The sequence below is a fragment of the Homo sapiens genome, chromosome 4 (assembly GCF_000001405.40).
Source record: "Homo sapiens chromosome 4, GRCh38.p14 Primary Assembly".
NCBI classification, from domain to species: domain Eukaryota; kingdom Metazoa; phylum Chordata; class Mammalia; order Primates; family Hominidae; genus Homo; species Homo sapiens.
The window spans coordinates 174,697,519-174,719,775 of NC_000004.12; the positions used below are offsets into that span (position 1 = coordinate 174,697,519).

Consider the following 22,257-nt stretch of genomic DNA (forward strand, 5'->3'; position numbering starts at 1 on the left):
GAATACTCTTACCATAAATCAGGCCATTACATGTGGTTTCATTTAAATTATTGGTCTGGTAAATTAAGCATCTTCTTAGCAATTACATTTTCTCTAAAACTTCTGGTATAGCTGACCTATCACCATTATCTTATGAGACATTTTAACGTATATCACAGACTTAAAGTTTCCCCCTTTCTCTTGGGAAAAGTGTGGATATATAATTTGTGACCCCTAACTGCTCTTCTTAAATGACAAACACAACAATAACTTTGTTCATATTTCTCAAAACTTCACAAAATTGCCACACTTTGAACACACAAAGTTTAAAGTTTTTGTGAGAAATTTCAGTGAAAATCAGAAAATGACCTGACCCTGAGCCCATTTTAATGAGGAAAGGCATCGTGGTTGGTTGGATTTCACTGTAGGAGAGGTTATAAGAGGGTCTTGCCCGACTACCTTTTTGGAATAAACTTCAGGTTGTGAGAAAACATTCTGTGTCTGCCTCCCAGGATGTTGGAGGTTCAGATCTGCTCAAATTTGTGAAATAATCAATTCACTAAATAGGCCCCAAATCATAACCGACACTGTGAGCCAAACCACTTTAGCAATATCTGAAAGTTGTGTAATGTTTTGAATAGAGAATAGTAAGGCAATAATGCTTTGACTGGTCTTGGGTTTTTTTATTTTTGATATATTTATATATTTTTTAGAGATAGGGTCTCACTCTGTTGCCCAGGCTGGAGTGCAGTGAAGCAATCACAGCTCACTGTAGCATCAAACTCCGGGACAAAAGTGATCCTCCCAAGTAGCTGGGACTACAGGCAGGTGTCACCATGCCCAGCTACTTTTTTGGGTTTTTAATTTTTTTGTAGAGATGGGGGTCTTCTTATGTTCCCCAGGGTGATCTCAAACTCCTGGGCTCAAGAAATCCTCCCACTTCAGCCTCCCAAATTGTTGGGATTACAAGTGTGAGCCACCATGCTGTGCCTGATCTTGGGATTTTTGAAGCCTGATTTTTCAGTACCACTATTTATTTGTAAGAACCAAAACCTATACAAAACCAAAACCAAAACAAGGGAAGAAAGTTCTGCATAATATTAGCAAGATGATCCACTTCAAATTCATATTGCTGGAAGCATTTGAAGAGTATTATTATGAAAAAGTCTTTGTAATACTATAAAATTAAAATTTTAACATGATTGGATAGCTTAAACATCAGAGAATAAAATTATATATTTTGTGTGCAACTTCTCCTTAAGGTGAGATAAAAAATGTCTATTATTGCAATATATTTATTGAAGTACTTGAGAGAGGTAATTAGCATGGTATGGACAGATTTCAAACACTAAAATTCGCATTTAATACACAGTATAATAAAAACTGATGCAAGCTATTCTGGACAGAGACCCAGACATTACTGTAAATCATTTATTATTATATAATTTGCCATATATATAAAGCCACATTGTTCCTCTCAGGTCTCAGAAGCTTATAATTACTTTTTTTTTTTTTTTGGAGACGGGGTCTTGCTTTGTTGCCCGGGCTGGAGTGCAGTGGTGTGATCTCAGCTTACTGCAACCTCCACTTCCCAGGTTCAAGTGATTCTCCTGTCTCGGCCACCTGAGCAACTGGGACTACAGGCGTATGTCACCACGCCTGGCTAATTTTTTTTGTATTTTTTAGTAGAGACAGGGTTTCACCATATTGGTCAGGCTGGTCTCGAACTCCTGACCTTAGGTCATCAACCCGTCTCAGCCTCCCAAAGTGCTGGGATTACAAGCATGAGCCACCATGTCTGGCCATAATTACTTTTTAAACTTACTTTTTAAAATTTAAACAGAAAATAATACTGCCAGACAAGGCAAAAGATAGCTGATGTTTTACATGCAATCAAAGCCTACAATATCAAGTATACCTACAATGAAAATGACATTGGCACAGAAAGATGTTCAAGTAATTGGAAGTGAGCAACTCCACAGTATTCTGTTGCACCTTAAAAATATAATTATATAGCAAAATCATAGCTGTGTAATAGAATTATGCAGGAAAGCACTAATTCCTAATATATTGTTATGAGGACTACTGTAATAATAAAATTCTATCTAAGTTAGTATGTTTTCAAATGTGGTATATCTTTTGGATGGAAGGATCACTTAAGAAGTATTTAAGGCATATTAGTTGAAGTTCTGCAGGTCTTAAGTTGCTCATCACAAAGGAACCAGAACTTCAAATTTGTACTGTTTAAATTATCCTTATTTTAGAGAATTAATATTTGTTAAATATTTAACATTATTTGTTAATTATTTAATTAATAATTAATAATTTATTTGTTAATTATTAATTAATAATTAATGCATTAATTATTTAATTAATACTTAATTTGTTAATTATTTAATTAATAATTTGTTAAACTTAACAAAATTATTTGTTAAATGATTCAATTGTGTTGTAATCCACACTCCCAGGATATGTTTTCTGTGTCCTAATTTATAAATTGTTAAGTATATGCTGATTTCTATCATAAAAATGAAAAACTAACTCAAGGTACAGAGTTTGTATAGCCCAAGGATATATTAAGGCTATTTTCTAATGGAGATGACAGAAACAGTGATTGTAATTAGGTAGAAGATGAAGTTTTAATCACAAATGAGCAAGTTAACTATAGCCAGAGAAATTTTCACCATTTTCTGTGTCTTTACTGCAGGCATAGCTTGTTTTATTGAGCTTTTCTTTATTGTGCTTTGTAGATATTGAATATTTTACAAATTGAAGATTTGTGGCAACCCTATATTAAGCAAGTCTATCAGCTCCATTTTTCCAGCAACCTGTCATCACCTCATGTCTCTGTGTCATATTTCAGTACTTGTCATAATATTTCAAACTTTGTCATTATTACGATATCTGTAATAATAATCTGTGGTCAGTGATATTTGATGTTACCATTATAATTGTTTTTGGGTGCTACAAACTACCTCCCTATATGATGGCAAATTATTAGCCAATTAATAACTACGAAGACCTTTAAGTAGTCGCTGAAAGGAAAAGCAACACATCTCTCACTTTAAATCAAAAGCTAGAAATGGTTAAGCTTAGTGAGGAAGGTATGTTGGAAGCTTAGATAGGATGAAAGCTAGGCGTCTGGCACCTAAGAGTTAACCAAGTTATGATGGTAAAGGAAAAGTTATTGAAGGAAATTAACAGTGCTACTGCACTGAACACATGGACAATAAGAAAGCAAAACAACCTTATTGAAGATATGGAGAAAGTTTGAGTGGTCTGCATAGATCAAACCAGCAACAACATTTCCTTAAGCCTAAACCAAATCTACAGCAAGATCCTAACTCATCCATATTATGAAATCTGAGAGAGGTGAAGAAGCTGCAGAATTAAAATTGGAAGCTAGCAGAGGTTAGTTTATGAGGATTAAGCAAAGAAGCCCTCTCCACATAAAAGTGCAAGGTGAAGCAGAAAGTGCTGATGTAGAAGCTGCAGCAAGATATCCAGAAGACCTAGCTAAGATAATTGATGAAGGTGGACACATTAAACAACAGATTTTCAATGTAGATGAAACAATCTTCTATTGGAAAAAGATGCCATCTGGGACTTTCATAGCTAGAGAGGAGAAGTCAATGCCTGGCTTCAAAGCTTCAAAGAACAGGCTGACTCTCTTCCTAGGGGCTAATGAAGCTGATGACTCTAAGTTGAAGCCAGTACTCATTCACCGCTCAAAGATCCTAGGGCCCTTAACAATTATTATGCTAAATCTACTCTGCCTGTTGTCTATAAATGGAACAAGCCTGGATGACAGCCCACCTGTTTACCGCATAGTTAACTGAATACTTTAAGCCCACAGTTGAGACCTATTGCTCAGAATAAAAGATTCCTTTCAAAATATCACTGCTGATGCCAATTAACCCAGTCAACCAAGAGCTCTGATGGAGATGTACAGGGAGATTGTTGTTTTCAAGCCTTCTAACATAGCATCCATTCTGTGGCCCCTAGATCAAGGAGTAATTTTGACTTTTAGTCTTATAACTTAAGAAAAACATTTTGTCCATTCTGTAAGGCTATAGCTGCCATAGATAGTGATTCCTCTTATGGATCTGGGCAAAGTAAACTGAAAACCTACATGTAACAATTCACTATTCTATAATGACGCCACTAAAAACATTCATGATTCGGGGAGGAAGTTGTAATATCAACATTAACAGGAATTTGGAAGAAGTTGATTTCAACCCTCATGGATGACTCTGAGGGGTTTAAGACTTCAGTGGAGGAAGTAATTGCAGATGTGGCAGAAACAGCAAGAGAACTAAAATTAGAAGAGGAGCCTCAAGATGTCACCAAATTGCTACAATCTCATGATCAAACTTGAACAGATAAGGAGTTGCTTCTTAAGCATGAGCAAAGAAAGTGGTTTCTTGAGATGAAATCTACTGGTGAAGACACCGTGAACATTGTTGAAATGACAACAAAGGATTTAGAATATTACATGCACTTAGTTGATAAAGCGGTGGCAGAGTTTCAGAGGATTGATTCCAATTAGGAAAGTTCTACTGTTGGTAAAATGCTATCAAACAGAATCACATACTACAGACAAATGTTTAATGAAAGGAAGAGTCACTCAATGAAGCAAACTACATTCTTGTCTAATTTTAAGTAATTTCCACAGCCATGCCAACCTTCAGCAACCAGCATCCCATCAATCAGCAACCATCAACACTGAGGCAAGACCCTCCACCAGGAAAATGATTATGACTCACTGAAGGCTCAGATTATCAGCATTTTTAGCAATAAAGTATTTAAAAATTAAGATATGTACATTATTTTTAGACATAAAATGCTATTGCACACTTATAGGCTACAGTACAGTATAAATATAACTTTTATATACACTGGGAAACCAAAAAATTAATGTAACTGCTTTACTGTCATAGTCTGGAACTGAACCAGCAATAGCTCTAAGGTATCCCTATATTCAAATATATTCCCTCAGTTTTAAAACAGCTGTGTTGGGAAAATTTGTGATACTATTGGTGAGTTAGAAAAAAAAAATCACCATTCCTAGAAATATTTTTATTTTTTGAGACAGAGTCTTGCTCTGTTGCCCAGGCTGGGGTGCAGTGCCGTGATCATAGCTCACTGCAACCTTGAAGTCCTGGGCTCAAGTGGTCCTTTCACCTCAGCCTCCTGAATAGCTAGGACTGCAGGCATGCATCATCACACCTGGATAATTTTTTAATTTTTTGTAGATACATGGTCTCACTATGTTTCCCAGACTAGTCTCAAACTCCTGGCCTCAAGTGAGCCTCATGCTTCTTTAGAAAATATTTTAAATTCTATTGATGGTATATTTGAATCATATTCATATATAAAGGACATACTATAGTGAACCCTCACATTTAATGAGTTACACATTATAATTACAATTTCTAATCAACAGTTCTTTAGCAGGCCTGGTGACTGGAAGTGGTATGAATCTCCCTTACTCACGCCCAGTGCTAACACTTGGGCAAGGTTTTGCTTTTTGCAAATCTGCATGTAGATTTTCCTGATAGCAGAACTCAGAGAAATCAACAAATTGCCAGGAACTGGGGACTATAAGTGGGCTATGTTGTGAAGAAACAGGCTACTTGGAACTTCTGAGAGCTCAGAAATTTGATTTGGCATTCTTCAAATGCCTTAGAAACTTCAAATCCTCTGGATTGAGAGTGGAACATTTGTCATACAAACAATGAAGAATCCACTGGTGAGGATCTATGAACTTGGCTGCCCTAGAGGTAAAAGTATAAAGGAAGCAGTGGAGCCATTGCCTTCATGATTCACAGCTCCTGGGCTTTGATCTCAGTATGGTATCAAAACACTCCTAAAGTCCACCTCACTCATTTATTAATGTAAATGCTTGAATCACACTCTGTGTACCTTTTCAAAAAATAGATTATTTTCTCTAAATTTTTATTGACAAACTATTATTTATTATTTCCATTTTCCTGTTTTCTAGTTTGGCTGGCTTCCCTCTTGATCCTCACTACATATAATTCACACTGTTTTTGTTTACTTATTAGGTTTTGTTTTCCTCTTGATCCTTTTTACAGATATTCCATGGTTTTCCAATGCTATGTTCCTAATTCACAGATTTGTGGTCTTCTATGTTTAAAGAATTTATGGAATCCTAGAGTTGAGATGACTTTTGCTGTCATCTAATGCCGCTCACTTATCTTATAAAATAGAAAACTGAGCCTCTGAAAATGAGCGGATTTATATAACTTATATAGTTTCTCAGTGAAAGACTGAAGGGTATGTTTTCTGAATTCCTCCTTTTATGCAGGTAGCAGCCAATGCACTGCATAATTTAAGGGATTGTTGAGATTGAACACCAGGGTCCTGTTTGGGGATATGCTACCAAAGTTTTGAAAAAGCATTATCTGGAAAGGCCATTTGATTTAGGGGAATTGAAGGGATATGAGGGTTGAAGGAACAGATTATTTTGAGAATTAATTAAGGATGAAAGAGGCTGGGCACGGTGGCACAGGCATGTAATCCCATTTTTTGGGGGTGCTGAGGTGGTTGGATCACTTGAGATCAAGTGTTCGAGACCAACCTGGGCAACATGGCAAAACCCCATCTCTATCAAAAATACAAAAATTAGCCAGATGTAGTGGTGTATGTCTGTAGTCCCAGCTACTTGGGAAGCTGAGGTGGGAGGATCGCTTGAGCCTGGAGGTGGAGGTTGCAGTGAGCTGAGGTCACACCACTGCACTCCAGCGCGGGCAACAGAGTCAGACCCTATATACAAAAAATGGTGACAGCTCTGAGTAGTAAAGAATAGCAGCAAATGGCAGGATCACAGAAATAAAATGCTTTAAATTACAGGTGATCTAGGGTGTTCTAAAAAGTCTACTGATTCTCACACAAAGAAGATGGCTACTATCTGAATCACACATCCTAACAAGTGTTGGCAAGGGTGTAAAGAAATTGGAACTCTAGTGTACTGCTGGTGGAGTATAAGATGGTGCAGCTGCTATAAAAAATATGGCTGCTTTTTAAATAATTAAAAATGAATGACCATATTATCTAGCAATTTTACCTCTGGATATATGTCCAAAAGAATTCAAAGCAGGGTCTCAAAAAGGTATTTGACATTCGTGTTCATAGCAGCATTACTCACTATAGCCAAAATATGAAAGTAACCCATTTCCATCAATGGATGAATGGAGAAATAAAATATTATATACATACAATGGAACATTATTCAAACTTAAAAAGGAAGAAAATCCTGACATATACTATAACATAGATAAACTTTGAGAACTTTGTTAAGTGAAATAAGCCAGTCACACAAAGACAAATACTGTATGAATCTACTTATATATGAATTTAGAGTAGCTAAACTCATATAAGCAAAATGTGGAATGGTGGTTCTCAGTGGCAAGAGGAAGGGGGAAATGGAGAGTTGTTTAATGAATGTAGAGTTCAGTTTTGCAAGATGAAATAGTTTGGGAGATTGCTTGTACAACATTGTGAAGATACCAAATACTACTGAACCGAATGCTTGAAAATGGTTAAGATGGTACATTTTGTTTGTATATTGTTATACTTTGAATGTTTGTCCCTTCATAACTCATGTTTAAATTCGGTTGCAATTGTAGCAGAGTTAAGAGGCGAGACCTTTAACAGGAGATTGGGTCATGAGGTCTCTACCCTCATAGGTGGAATTACTGCCATTATAAAAGGGTGGTTTCAGCCCCTTTTTGTGCCGGGCCCTTCTGTCTTCTGTGGGGTGATGCAATGAAAACGCCCTAGCAGATGCTGGCAGCTTCATTTTGGATTTTCCAGCCTCCAGAACTGTGAGCCAATACATTTCTATCCATTAAAAATGACCTAATCTGTGGTATTGTGTCATAGCAGCACAATACAGACTAAGACATGGATTTTACCACAATTAAAAAATAAAAGAAGAAAAGACTGATGAATTTCTGGGGGAGGAAATAAAAGAGGGATGCACAGTGTGCAGAAGACCTTGTGGTATCATGACATGAGTTGAAAGTAGAACCTGGGTAAATACAATGAATTAGCCTCCAATAGTCTTTTCAGTTATGTAAGAGAAGAGGGGAGTCATTCCGGACAACCAACTTGATGTTTTCTTTAATGGATCTTTGGGTGAAATATGGCTACAAGTGGGCTATATTAACTGCACTGTAAAAAATATGACCAAATTATTGACTGTCGTTAAGAGAAACAAAGAGATCACTGTCTTAATTTTTGCTAGAATTTCTAGTGATAACAAGTGAGAAATGAGAGACATTTTCCCCGTCTACATGGAACTTGCATGTAGTGGGGTGGGGGTGGGGAGGGCAATACAAACGTTATCAGAAATAAAATAATCATTTCAGATGGTGATATGTATTTTGAAATAAATTTATAATTTAATGGGATAGGAAGCAACTGGGGAGAAGAGAGCTAACTTAAGAAAAGATTATCACACTTTGGGAGGCCAAGGTGGGTGGATCACAAGGTCAGGAATCCAGACCATCCTGTGTAACATGGTGAAACCCCGTCTCTACTAAAAAATACAAAAAATTAGCCGGGCGTGGTGGCGGGCACCTGTAGTCCCAGCTACTCGGGAGGCTGAGACAGGAGAATGGCGTGAACCCGGGAGGCAGAGCTTGCAGTGAGCCGAGTTCACGCCACTGCACTCCAGCCTGGGCGAAAGGGCGAGACTCCGTCTCAGAAAAAAAAAAGAAAAAAAAAATGTTCAGAAATGGCCTGGCGGAATGATCCGATGGGTCAAGCTATCGATAAATCTTCAGGAAACACATTTTAGGCAGAGAGAAGAGCACAGTTTTATCTGACATAAGGATTATGGTAACCCCATCATTAATAACCACAAAAGCACAATGTTGAAATAAATAGATAAGCATTTCATTTGACATCAAACATCTTTGTAACAACTGAAAAAGTATACAAAAGTGAAGTAAAGGAGGTAAATGATAAGCCAAACACAACATTGAAACCAAAAGTAACAATAAATATTTTCTTGATGTATTCAGGCTATACATTTAATTTCATCCATATTGAAGTTGAAAATGCAAACAAAAAAGGGATCCTCGGGTTCTATAAGAATAGAAAGAAATAGGAACCCTGCTTGAGCAGGACAAGAGAAAGATAAACTTTTTATCTGTATCTTTTCTCCGAAGGAAAATAAAATTCCAGAGCATGAAGATGTTTGCAGATGAGATTGCTGATGCTATATGGAATCTCAAAGGGGTGATAAAGAATTTTACAAAGCTGCTAAGAGACTAATGTTGAGAATATTTTCAAGTTTATTAACAGGTAGATTCTGTGAATTTTAAAGGAGCGTAACACCAAATCCATACAATTCCAGAATAGTTAAGATTATATCTGTGAACAGGTAGAGCAGGAAGCTGTGGTCAGTAGGAGCCAGAATTAGGGTCATAAAGGAAAAGCCATGCTACATTGATATCATATTATAATCTTATTACCAACTATGCTAGAATATTAAGGGATACTATAGTGTTCTCAGCAAGATATCTGATGAATTCTAATGTTATTCTTATAAGCAAGGATTTCAAAATTTTGAAATGGATATCCATTTAAGTAATTTATAGCTGATTGAAAAAGCAATTGTTGATTTTTTTCAGTAGTAATAAATCAAGACAAATACCTGTAGTGCACTGTTGCAAGGTTTTCAGTCCTGTCCTTCTGGGAGTGTATAATGATATATTGTTCAATTCTCTGGATGATTAACCAGCAGAGACATGGATCATCAAAGTAGAATTATGGACTAAAACTAGTAAGATGATCTTTAACTAGAAAAAAGGTAAAGTACTTTGTATTTATTCCAGTGAACCAATTTAGTAAACATGGATGGGGGACATAGAACTTAGTTGTAGTACTCAGATGACTGTAGATGTGTTCTGAGTCAAGACTGTTTTGCAGCTATCTCTAATGTATGTGTCATCTGAAACTGCAATAGTAACAGAATGATTGGCACTGTCACGGGGGGGAAGCCCTACTCTGCAGTCTCGGTTTAGGCCAATTTTAATACATGGAAAGACGTCTAGGGGAAGGGAAATAGGCAAAGGAGGGAACTCTAAGTCTTTTCATATGAGAAAACGAATGAAATTACTGGGTGTGTTTAACTTGCAGAGATAATTTAAGGATACCACAATTACAATTTATAAATATTTGGAAATCATCACATAGATTTTAAAATGACCAATGGTTGTATGAAAAGTTTGTGAGCTATTAAATCATATCGTTTTCTCTGTCCACTTCACAGTTGTGTGACCTTGGGAAAGTCACTTCACTTCTCGAAGCATAATTTGACCATATGACTGACTGTAGTCAATATGCTTAGAATACCTGATGATCAGTAAAAATTCAACCTAGAAAGATGTGGACAGACTAGAAGAGAATGGCCATTGGTGTTGCATAGGATGGAATACTTAATGTTTAAGTGGAGATTTATTTTATAAGTAGCGAGTTCATTACTGTATAGTTTTGTCTTGGGAGGACTTCTGTTTTCTAGCTAACACTGTAACTGCAGAGGTTTAAGCAACAAATACTCAGCAAACAAGAACCATCTGTATTTCTCACTAGGCAAACAAAAAACATAATATTATTTTGAACAGTATCCAAACTTTTAAATTATGAAAGAGCTTGGATAAGAGTAGAGACTATTATAAAATAATTGCAAAAAATCATCACCAAATCTTATCTTTTGCCTTAGCTAATTTAGCATAAATTCCAGAGTAAGCGGTCTGAGTAATGTCAAACCTGGTTTTTAAATGAATCTGAGAAATTAAATCATAAAATCCTCTCATCTCTCTTTAGAAATTTCTATCCCAAAACCCCATTAAAGTGTATTCTATCTTTATATATTTCTATCCAACAATACTACTAAAGTATATATCAAGTTTCTTAAAGCTTTTGTTAATTTTTTTTTTCAAGTTGGCCCTTAACAATTACCCTGTAATTTTCGAGATTTAGGCTGTTCTTTTTGGCAGACAATACTTCTTCACTGAGTCATTTTCTTATATTGTCTTTTCAAATCTAAATAATATTTTAACTTTTACTCTTTTTTTTTTTTTTTGAGATGGAGTTTCGCTCTTGTTGCCCGGGCTGCAGTGCAATACATTCCTCTTTAGATATGAACTACAGAATTAGACCCTTTATGGAAGTAGTAATAGTTTATGCACCATGTGTCATCAATGCCTGTTAACTATTATTCTGATTCTAAGAAATTATTATCCAATGTTTTTCCATGATTAAAAAAATCCTTCCTGGCTTTTTTTTTTCAACTAGCAAATTAAAAAAAAAAACAGTTAGGAATTTTCCTTTTAATGTAAATAAAAAACTGAAAATTCAGTTTTGAGTTTTTTTCCTGCCTCTAGCCCTGTACATCAACTTCCATCAAGCATTCCTTAGGGGCATAGTCTAGATCTTAATATAGGTAGTTGTACCTCTTTCTCTTCTATATCATTCTATATTAGTTATTTCTTTTGCGTCAAATAAAATAATTATAATTGCATTTATGTAAAAATGTATTTATAAATTGTGATATAAATGAAAACGTATCCGTTGAAAATTACCTCATGTTGCTAGCGCTTCAAACAGCTTTAAAAAATTCAGGTAATGGCATCTGATAAGTAATCAGTAAACTAATGCAATCTAATCCTGAGAAGGAAGGCCAGTGATCACTTTAGTAGTTTGTCTTCACTAGGAACTTTCCTCAGTTTCATTTATTACAATCAAGAACTGCACATAAAAATTGGGGCTCAAATTTAAAACAGTTAGTGAAAAACAAGTCTTCATTGCAGAATTCTCTGTGTGGTATGTATGGTTTGATATTTTTATTGTTACTTTCTTAGGTTTCTCCTAATAAAATATGAATTTTGAGAATAAAGTGTGAATTTTGGATATGCATATTGTCATGGGAACTGGCCTGTGTCTTCTTACCGACTTTGAGAGTGAAAAATGAGTATTAAAAAGAGAGAAAATAAATGAAAGCAACACGTTTTCTTCATACCTAAAAGCAAACATTTATAGTATTTATCCCAGAATGAAGTTGAATTAAGTATGTTCTAGATCAGAGGAATAAACAGTATGTTGAACTTCTGGCTTTTATACAAGCAGTTACATGAAACTCTGTTGAGATTTGAGGAATAAGCACATTCCCAGAGAGGCCTTTATAATTTGATAAGGGAAACATCCGAACTTGGAACATATAAACGGGGCCACATTTTTTCCTTTGACTTCAGTGGAATTCTCAGTGATGAGTTAGCATTCTAAATTACTGTAACAGTAAAGATTCAACTTTAGTGCAGTTATTTTATTTTGATTTTTAAATGGCAGCAGAGTGAAACACTATGATAAATACCACTTGTGTTGCAGCTAATACATTTTTATACCTAAATATTGAAGAAAACATAATGTTGATTTTCTTTTTTTTTTTTTTACCTTTAATGAGTCTACCCTCCATGAATAAACTAGATTAATCATATTTTCCAAATAGCCTCTAGGAAACATATTGTTAAAATATCACAAAGAGTTCCTTATTGTCTTTCTCTGTTTCACTTCTTCCAGTTTTTCTAAAACTTGATGATGCTGTCTTTCTCTGGCTCTCTTTTGGTGGTCGTTTTCTATGCTATCTCCAGAAATTTCATTGATTTTCATGTCTGCATGCTTATCCATGTCTCAATAAGCAGTACTTCTAAGGTTGTGTCTCTATATTTGTACAAACATTCCTAATTCAAGCTCTATCCTAAAATTTCCCATAACTCAAAGTAAATTTTTAGTTGAACAAAAATTTTCACAAAAAACACAGCACAGTTAAGCAGACATCAGCTCTGATCTACTTTTTCCATGAATCACCTTCTTTTTTCAGATTAATGTAAACAAAGCTAAATATCCAGTTCTCCCGATTGAGAGGAAACTTGAGGAAATCATCTTTATGCATAATTCTTCTTTTTATATAGCAAATATTTGAACAGGTTTTCAAAATGTTTGTTGTTGTTCCTATCATTATTGTCTCCGCTCTTGGAAATTCTCATTAATTTATAACAAAGTTAGCTCTTTACGCGGACGTTTTTCCCCCAGTCTTCCTTCTTGTTTTCAAATAAAGGTTTTGGCTGAGTTTCCTTTCCATAACTATGACTGAAAAAGATAGAATTGCTCAGGATTTTCTTTCATTGCTTTTAAGCTGGCATACTACGATTATTTCTATTTCTTCATTCTGTATTTTTGATATTCAATCAACCTAATTTTTTTTTCTTTAAATAATTTCTCCAGGGATGTGTCTAGGTTCTGAGATTTTTCAAAGCACCAGGTTTAGGGGTTTTTGTGATTCTTTGGACACTCTATTGTGTCTTTTTGGTCTTTTTGAATAGAATGCTTAGTGAAATCATTTTTATTAAAAAAACCTGGCTTATTTGTATCTAGAAATTTTGATATATTGTGCTTTCATTGTAACTTAACATCAAGTTTTTCTTAATTTTCACTTTAATCAAATAGTCATTTAGTATTTGTTTTTCATTCCAGTTATACAAGTGTATATTAATATATAATAATGTATGGGAATTTGTAGCAACTTACAGTAATTCTATATTGTTATTGGTTTCTAATTTTATTGCATTTTAGTTAGAAATCACATTTTATAACATGTTGATTCATAAGAGGTTACTGAAACTTCCTTGGTGGTGTATAACATAAATAAATGTTTCCATATGCTGAAAACAAAATTTAACAAAGAATAAAAATTCTCTCTCTCTATGATTTGTTTTGTTCAAATATACTGTGCTTGTACAATCCAGTAAATTGTTGATTTATCTGTTTTTTATGCAGTTCATCCTGCTTTTGCTTATTATATTTAGAAGTTATATGGTTACATACTTAGATTTTCCTAATTATATATATATATATATTTTTTTTTTTTTTAGAGAGAGTCTCACTCTGTCGCCCATGCTGAGTGCAGTGGCACCATCTTGGCTCACTGCAACCCCCACCTCCCGGGTTCAAGCGATTCTCCAGCCTCAGCCACCCGAGCAGCTGGGACTACAGGCAAGTGCCACCACGCCTGGCTAATTTTTGTATTTTTAGTAGAGATGGGGTTTCACTATATTGGCTAGGCTGGTCTCAAACACCTGACCTCAAGTGATCCACCTGCCTCAGCCTCCTAAAATGCTGGGATTAAAGGCGTGAGCCACGGCATATTGATTTTTTACCAGCATGCCACTCAAGTGTTTGTGCCTCATAATTTTTTTCTGCCATTAATTTTTTTCTGGTTAAAATTATTCTGGACTTTTTCAAGGTACATTTCTCAGATATACATTTTTTCATTTTTCTTTACCAAATTTTTTTGTGTGGTATTCTTAGAAAGTGTCTAGTTGTCAACATATTGTTGGGTCTTAATATTTGTTAACATCTAGTTTGAGAATCTCTTTTTTTCTACATGAATTTAACCCTTTTATTCTATTTTTATTCTTTGATATTATCCTTAACTCATACTTTTTTTTTCTCATCAATTTCTAATGCAAGTCTTCTCTTACCCTGGATTTTCCTTGCATAAGCCTCTTCCCCAATAATTTCTTTTCCTCTAACTAGGAATTTTGTATCATCCATGGTTTCAATTATAAGTCATAAATGTACACTTTTGAGGGCATAGGATCATTGATAGTTTAGACAAAGTAGTCTTTTCTAAGTTAGTTATTCATTGTTAATTTTGTTCTTCTCTTATTCACTTTCTCCTTTGTTTTAACAGTATACCATTAAGATTTGCTTATCATCTTTAATTGAATTATTATATTGGCATAAATATAATTTTTATCATTATATTTCAGGTAGCCTCTGAAATTCTTGAAACAGAGACTTTTTTGCTTTATTTATTGTTATACCACCCAACATAATATGTGGAATATATTAGGTATTTGATAAATATTTTTCAATTGATGCCTAAATGAAAGAATATTTCTCAGGCCACTTGGAACAGTTTTGACCATTGACATATATTTATTGAACTTTTACTGAATTTAAGGAAGTTGTACCATTGCAAGCCATTAAAGTGTTTGCTTTTAAATTATGTTTCCTTTTTGCCTACTTCCCACGTCTTAATATTATTGAACATTTTCTTTTCTTCCTTTCTGCAGTCAGATTTCATTCAAAAGTGGACCCTGGGATTCTGACAGCTCTTGCTTTCCAGTAGGTTAAACTCTTTTTGCCTACTTTCCAGTGGGTTCCACCGATTTACAATCTTTTATCTTGTCATTTTAAACCACTATTTAAGGAGAAAAGAAAAAAATAGATACAAATTGTTCTTAAAACATGCATATATACACACATATATATGTAGATTTGTATGTATGAGTATATATATACACACACATATATGCATATATATACACACATATGTATATATACACAGAAATGTAGGCATTTCTTAATATATGTATATATTATATAGTATATTACATGTGAGTGTGTGTATGTATATGTAATTGTCCTAAAAAAGTTTTAAGAAAAAAACGCCTTGAAGAACTTGACTTCAGAAGCTTCTACTTTGACTGACATTAGCATCTGCCACAGAGGTTTAATAAACAAAGTCTCTATGGTTAGCTAAATTAAAATTAATTCCTAATAAGAGAGCAGGAAGTGCTTAATGACTGAAATATTAAAGAACCCCTTGAACAATCCACTCATATTTCTTATAGAGGAATTAAGAAACAAAGGGGAAAGAAAAGAGGCTCTCTTTTCTCATGTTGAGAAATGTTCTGAGAAAGGCAGACACATGGGAGGTCTTACTATGTCAGCTTTTGTGTCCTGCAAAATAGCCCCAGTAAGCTTTCCTTATTCAAAACATAAGCCCAGTGATCTAACCAACCCTCAGGCACTGTACTTTTTCTCATCTTTCTTTAATAACTAACATTCTTGGAATAAACGATTTCACTTGCTGCTCCCACTTCCTCATCACTCACCTAAAAACAAAAAACCTTTTTAGATTCCAGCTTTGACCATCATTATTCTAATCACATTTGTCTTCGTTAACAATAACAATTGCTTTTTTCAAGTACCTTACAAAACTTTCTTTGCAGCATTTGATTTTGTTACACAGAACTCCTTCACAGTCCTTTCTCTTTCGAGGTTGAATCGTGTTGATTTTAATTTGCCATCTTTGCCTTTGTCTGGAATTTTTTCCAACAACTTCTAAATGTAGGCATTTCTTAAGCGTCTGTTCTTGTTTGTGTTTTATTTCCTCTCTACATTCGCCTCTTCAGCTATTTCATCTGATTCTTGAACCACTCTGTATATGGCTTTTAATAGTTGATCTTCACTTTTCACTCCCTCTTTGGCTTTAGACCTAAATTTCCCAGACCTCAAACATATTAAGATGGATTTTATCAATTGTCCCATCAACATTTGCTTCTCATCCCCTGTTCCCTTTCTTCATCAATGCTTCTAATCTGATCCGTTTATCTAAGCTATTTCTCTCTGACACACAGGCATTCAGTGACTTCACAACCACTGCGAATCAGCCTCTCCTGTTTCTACCTTCCACATAATTGCTCTTTGTCCTACTTTCTGTTCTTTTTCTGGAAAATTATGAAAACTTCTTAAACAATCTTGGTTCATTTAACTAAAATAATCTTTAAGAGGTACAGCAAGGACCAAACAATTTTCTTGCCCCTTATATGTTGAACCATTTTAGGGTGCCACTTAGAGGGTCCCGCACATTTTAAACTCTTTGCCCTAAATGTACTTAATTTTTCAACCAAGATATACAATCAGCCTGTCCTCAAATTGCCCTTCTTCAATTTCAAAATCAGGTCTGCTGCTTCTCCCCATGTAGATTGATTGCTAAGTAGCCCCCCAAATTTTAATTTATTTTATTTCCTCTCATTTACGTTAGTACTTTATCCATATGTATGCTAATTATTTAAGAACTACTTATAAAAGTAATCAATTTAAATTTTCCAAGGAGGAGTTATCAGAGAAATTGATATTTCCACTTCTTAAGAAAAACCAAACAGGAGAGGGAGGGGTATAGTCACGTTGCCCCACAAAGTTGGTCTGCCATCTAGTGACAGCTCCATCACACTACAAGCCTTGTCTTTGACACCTGGAGTCTGAGGCTCGGCCTTCAAATTTTCCTCAAGGAATGTGTCAAACAGTCCTTTTATTCCCCCTCGGATAACATACTGTCATAAGGTAAAATATTGCATATTGCTTAATTTTTATATGAGATTAAACACTGTAAACAATTAATTTAGGACTAATTATATAGATCAGAGAAAGGGTAGGATGTGAAATGTTCATCTGTGTTAACGTTGATCAGTGAGGCATATGGGTCTACTTTGAAAGAAGAAATGTAGAGGAATACCTGAAAGCTTGAATAAATCTGTGAGAAAGTGTGAGACATTTTTTCTTCTGAGCTAACATACATAACATACCCAGCAGAGTGATATTAAAATAATAAACATTGCTTATCTGAAGCAGCATAGGTTTGGAGGCAGTTTGTCACTGTCACCTTTGTGAGTTGGAGCCGAATACTCAACCATTCAACATGACCACTTTCACATTTGAAAACGTAGGGATAACAATATCTTTGTTGTCAGTATAAGAAAAAATATATATAGACACTTCGTTGAGAAGAGGCTCCCAATAAATAAGTGATAGTTTGTTTTTAATGATTACCATCCTTTTCACTTCTGATGATGTGTATGGAAACACATATCTAAATATCAAGCTTTGAAAATCTGTTATTTTTAGATCCTCAATTTGTTTCTTTCTCATAGTGTGGAGTGCATGTGTTGATAGGTATCATTATTTTCAGTACCTGGTGAAAGGTTACATGCCTATTCAGTAAATATGTGACCAAAATGATTACAAAATAAATTATCCATATTAGGCATTAAAAGCTTGTATCTACTATAATGTAAAAGTATTTTAAAAAGTAAGTGGTTCATACTTACAGCTTTCCAGTTGCATTATACATGTTTGTACATCCATGGGAAAATTCTTGAGATCCATTGGACAGGAAAGTGTTAATGTTAATCTGAAAGTCAAAGTAATTATTTTTAAAGGAAATTTATGACATTATATTAATATTCTATTGTACAGGAGAAACAATGTTGCTTTGCTGGTGACTAACTCAGATTTAAGTAAAAATTTCTCCAGCTTATGTATCCTACTTACTATAAAATAGCTATGCCCTTATATACAAATCTGGCTTTGGTGGGCTGGGGGTTGGATAATTGCATATCTTAGGCTGGTGCTAAAGTAATCGTGGGTTTTGCCATTAAAAGTGCTGGCAAAACAGCAATTACTTTTGCACTAACCTAAATATAAGCATCCCGTCATATTTATATATCTATATGTTTATTTATTCAATTAGAAAGGGCTGTGGATGTCTAGAAAATGTCTGTATTCCAAGACGACATCCTCAAAAGAGAAATTCAAGAGTGGATCCTATAAAATTAATGCCAAACGTCAAAAGGTATCTTTCCTTGCAAATCACATGCTATATTCCAGAGGCATTAGAGTTCTAAACGTGGAAAAGCAGGGTGGAGAGGAGCAATCATATGTAACGTTCAGTCATCATTCTAACGACCCTGATGTTGTCAGTGAACATTCAGCAGTGTATTTAGTAAAGTGAATCTGGAGGACTTGAAAAGTTCGGCCTCATGTTCCCCGGTGTGGGATAAGGGAATCATCAGGGTCAGGAAATAGCCCTCTAGAATATTCATGATCTGATTCTATGCTCATCAAACAAACTTCTGATTTGGCTTCACACAAAGGATAACCTAGATGCTGTATACCAGTATTCCGCTCATTGGAAAGGCTCTCCTCCAACTTCCAGAGAGAATTAGTATGTTGACATTCCAGAAAATTCATCACCTTTGAATACTTTTTGCTGGAAAAGCATTCTACCCAGATCTCTTCAGGGTAGTTTTTCTGGTTCCTACACCTGAGGAAGAGATGGTGAGATCCACTCAAGTTTATTCAAATGAAGTTCTTTTCTGAGAACTCTTTAGCAAGCCTCTTGCACTGAGAATATTCCCATTGAAATTCAGTGTCTTCATGAGCACCCTAGGTGGATTAGTTTACTTAAACTTCGTGACCCTAGGCAGATTACTTCAAATCCCCTATATTGCAGTTTTCTCATCTTTAAAATGAAGATAACAATAGTACCTACTCCAGAGAGTTGCTATGAGCAGTACATGCGTTAACACACATAAGTGCTTAGACAAGTGCTTAAGCCATAGCAAACACTCAACAAACAGTGGTTGTTAGTGATTATTAGTATATTCAGCCACTCCTAGACTCCTTCATTTACTCATCTGCCAAATTCTATAGTGTGGGCACAAAGATGACTAAATTAAATTACATATTAAGAACTATTTAGCCAGGCGTGGTGTCTTACGCCTGTAATTCCAGCGCTTTGGGAGGCTAAGAAGAGAGGATCGCTTGAGCCCAGTAGTTTGTGATCATCCTGGGCAACATAAAAATACTCTATCTCTACAAATATATATATATATATATTTTAAATTAGCCAGGTATGGCTTGTGCACCTGTAATCCTGGCTACTCAGGAAGCTGAGGTGAGAGTATGGCTTGAGCCCAGGAGGTCGAGACTGCAGTGAGCTAGGCTCACACTGCTGAACTATAGCCTGGGTGACAGAGCAAGATCTTGTCTCTTAAAAAAAAAAAAAAGAAAGGAAGGCATGCAGGAAGGAAGGGAGGGAGGGAGGGAGAGAGAGAGAGAGAAAGAGAGAGAAAGAAAGAAAAAGAAAGAAGGAAAGAAAGAAGAAACAAAGAAACAAAGAAAGGAGGGAGGAAAGAAAGAAGGAAAGGAAGGAAGGAAAAAGAAAGAAGAAAGGAATAAAAAAGAACTATTTAAGCTTTAACAAAAAATAGTCTGCAGCTCTACTAAATATAACCACATTCGTCAAGCTGACATTTTTATGTAGACCATAGACATAAAGTTAGAATGATGTATAGTCTACAGAGAGTATGCTTGGTGAGTTAGGTCCAATTAACATAATTTGGGACACATAAATGGAGAGACAGTGAAGCTGCTGAATTTTAAGAGTCTTAGGAGGATAATCTGGTAATTCATTCGAGTCAGAGTCCATAACACACTAGAATAATTCATGGAGTTCAACATTCAAAAGGAATTTTTCTCCTGGCTCAGCTAGGTTAAGTATGATTGTGTAATTTTACAAAGTTCTCTCTTAAAAAGGCAATTTTAAAATTAGGTAGACACAATGTTTTTTGCCTTGTGAAAGGGCTTATTAGAAGTGTATGCACACATATATTTTGAATGTACACACATTAATTTTCCAAATATCCAAGGCTCTCAGACAGCCAGTTTCAAATGTTGACTTGCAGAATTAATTCTGTGACCTTTTGTTTGGAAGTAAATAGCATTCTCAGAATCTTTTCCATGCTCTCACCATGCATGTGATGTCAAATTCATATCCTGGCTATTTTTCTGGCATAAAAAAAGAGACATTACATAATTCTAAAAAAATAGCACTTGAAAGGAATTATTTGGCAAAGAAAAACACAGTTTGTAGGACTTCGGTCATAAATCATATCCTGAAAAAATCTATTCATCGACTTTTCTTTCTTTTTGTTTAAGGTACAATACAATTGCTCCTTTCACAGCATACTGAAAAATACGTGTCAACTTGGTGGGTTTGATACTGAATTTCTTTGTCAAAACACTACATATAAATTAAAGACATGTCTTGACCACATCAAAAGAAAATTAAATCAAGAGGCAATTAATCACATTCTACTGTTTTGGAAATAAATGTTTACTTGTGTAAGAGAGACACTAAGTTCTCTTTCTGAGACAAGATACATAAACAGGATATGGCGTTTCTTCTTTTCCTTTAAGAAGTCTTGGGAAAGACTTTTAACATTAGTACTTAGTGAAACAGTAATGTTTAAAAAGCTGATAATAATTTGTGACAAACAATTGACCTCATTAAAATTCAATTATTGACCACTTTTGTACAAGCATTGTTTCATGTGTCTATCTCAACCACTAGTTGAATTAAAAAATGTTTGCTGACTCTATTATAGACTTTGTATATAAATGAGTATTTTTATTAGATCCTAATATTTCTCTATTTGGTGTCTTAAAAACAATGGCTTCAATTAGCAATTTAATCAGTTTTAATCTATATTATCTGTAATATCATATTAGCTAACACATCTATTAGACAATGTTTACTGTGCAGTAGGCAGTATTTTAAACACTTTGTGTATGTTAACTCATTTACTCCGTACTACAAATTTACAAGAATAGGTAAATGATATCACCCTGTTTTAGAGATGAGGAAACTTAGAGGTTAAGTAACTCACCTGACATTACACAGCAAAAATTGCTACAGCTGAATTTGCAGCCCTGGGGTTCTAGTTCTAGATTTCGTGCTTTTTTTTTTTTTTTTTTTTTTTGAGACGGAGTCTCGCTGTCGCCCAGGCTGGAGTGCAGTGGCGCAATCTCGGCTCACTGCAGGCTCCGCCCCCTGGGGTTCACCCCATTCTCCTGCCTCAGCCTCCCGAGTAGCTGGGACTACAGGCGCCCGCCACCTCGCCCGGCTAATTTTTTGTATTTTTAGTAGAGACGGGGTTTCACCGTGTTAGCCAGGATGGTCTCGATCTCCTGACCTCGTGATCCGCCCGCCTCGGCCTCCCAAAGTGCTGGGATTACAGGCGTGAGCCACCGCGCCCGGCCTCGTGCTTTTAACCTTTAAGTATACTGCCTCTCAAAAGCATTGAAGCATTTTTCATGAAAATGGGTTCTGTAATTAATATGACATTTTAAATTATGTATTTCTTATAATACAAGAAATGATATATTGCATGCACATATCAGTTATTTATAGTGAAATTATAGTTATATTATAGTGAAATTTAAAGTAAAACATGCATAAATAATTTTTATAAAAACCTACATAAATAATTCTTCCAAAAGAAATCAGAGAAATGTAGTTAAACTGTAGAAAATATAAGGAATTTCCCCAGAGATTTGATATATTTGAATGATTTGGTATATGATTATGAATGATTTTCTAAGGGGTAAATCACTCTTAGGAGAGATTAGATTGCTGGAGCACTAGAAGGGAGATTAGAATGAGCTTCTGTAACCTACTTCTGGAGCTTAATTGTCATCTGATCATAGAGACAATCATTAACTCAGCAACCCATTACCAAAGCAATCTCATTATTGTTGATGGTTTCTTTATGA

At 35.1% G+C, this 22,257-nt stretch overlaps 1 protein-coding gene across 9 annotated transcripts in view; it reads right to left on the minus strand.

Moving 5' to 3' along the window:
* Positions 1–22,257, minus strand: part of GLRA3 (glycine receptor alpha 3) — a 192,328-nt gene that overhangs the window by 60,599 nt on the left and 109,472 nt on the right. For 8 of the 9 annotated variants that reach the window (XR_001741329.2, XM_047416196.1, XM_047416195.1 and 5 more), the window contains one exon: positions 17,970–18,052. Coding sequence is in view for 7 of the 9 variants with exons in the window: in XM_047416196.1 (XP_047272152.1) it covers positions 17,970–18,052 (83 nt within the window). In the remaining 2 variants the exon portion in view is untranslated. Of the gene's footprint in view, positions 1–9,667; positions 9,992–17,969; positions 18,053–22,257 lie in introns of those variants that run through there. The other variant, XM_011532268.3, reaches the window with a different exon arrangement.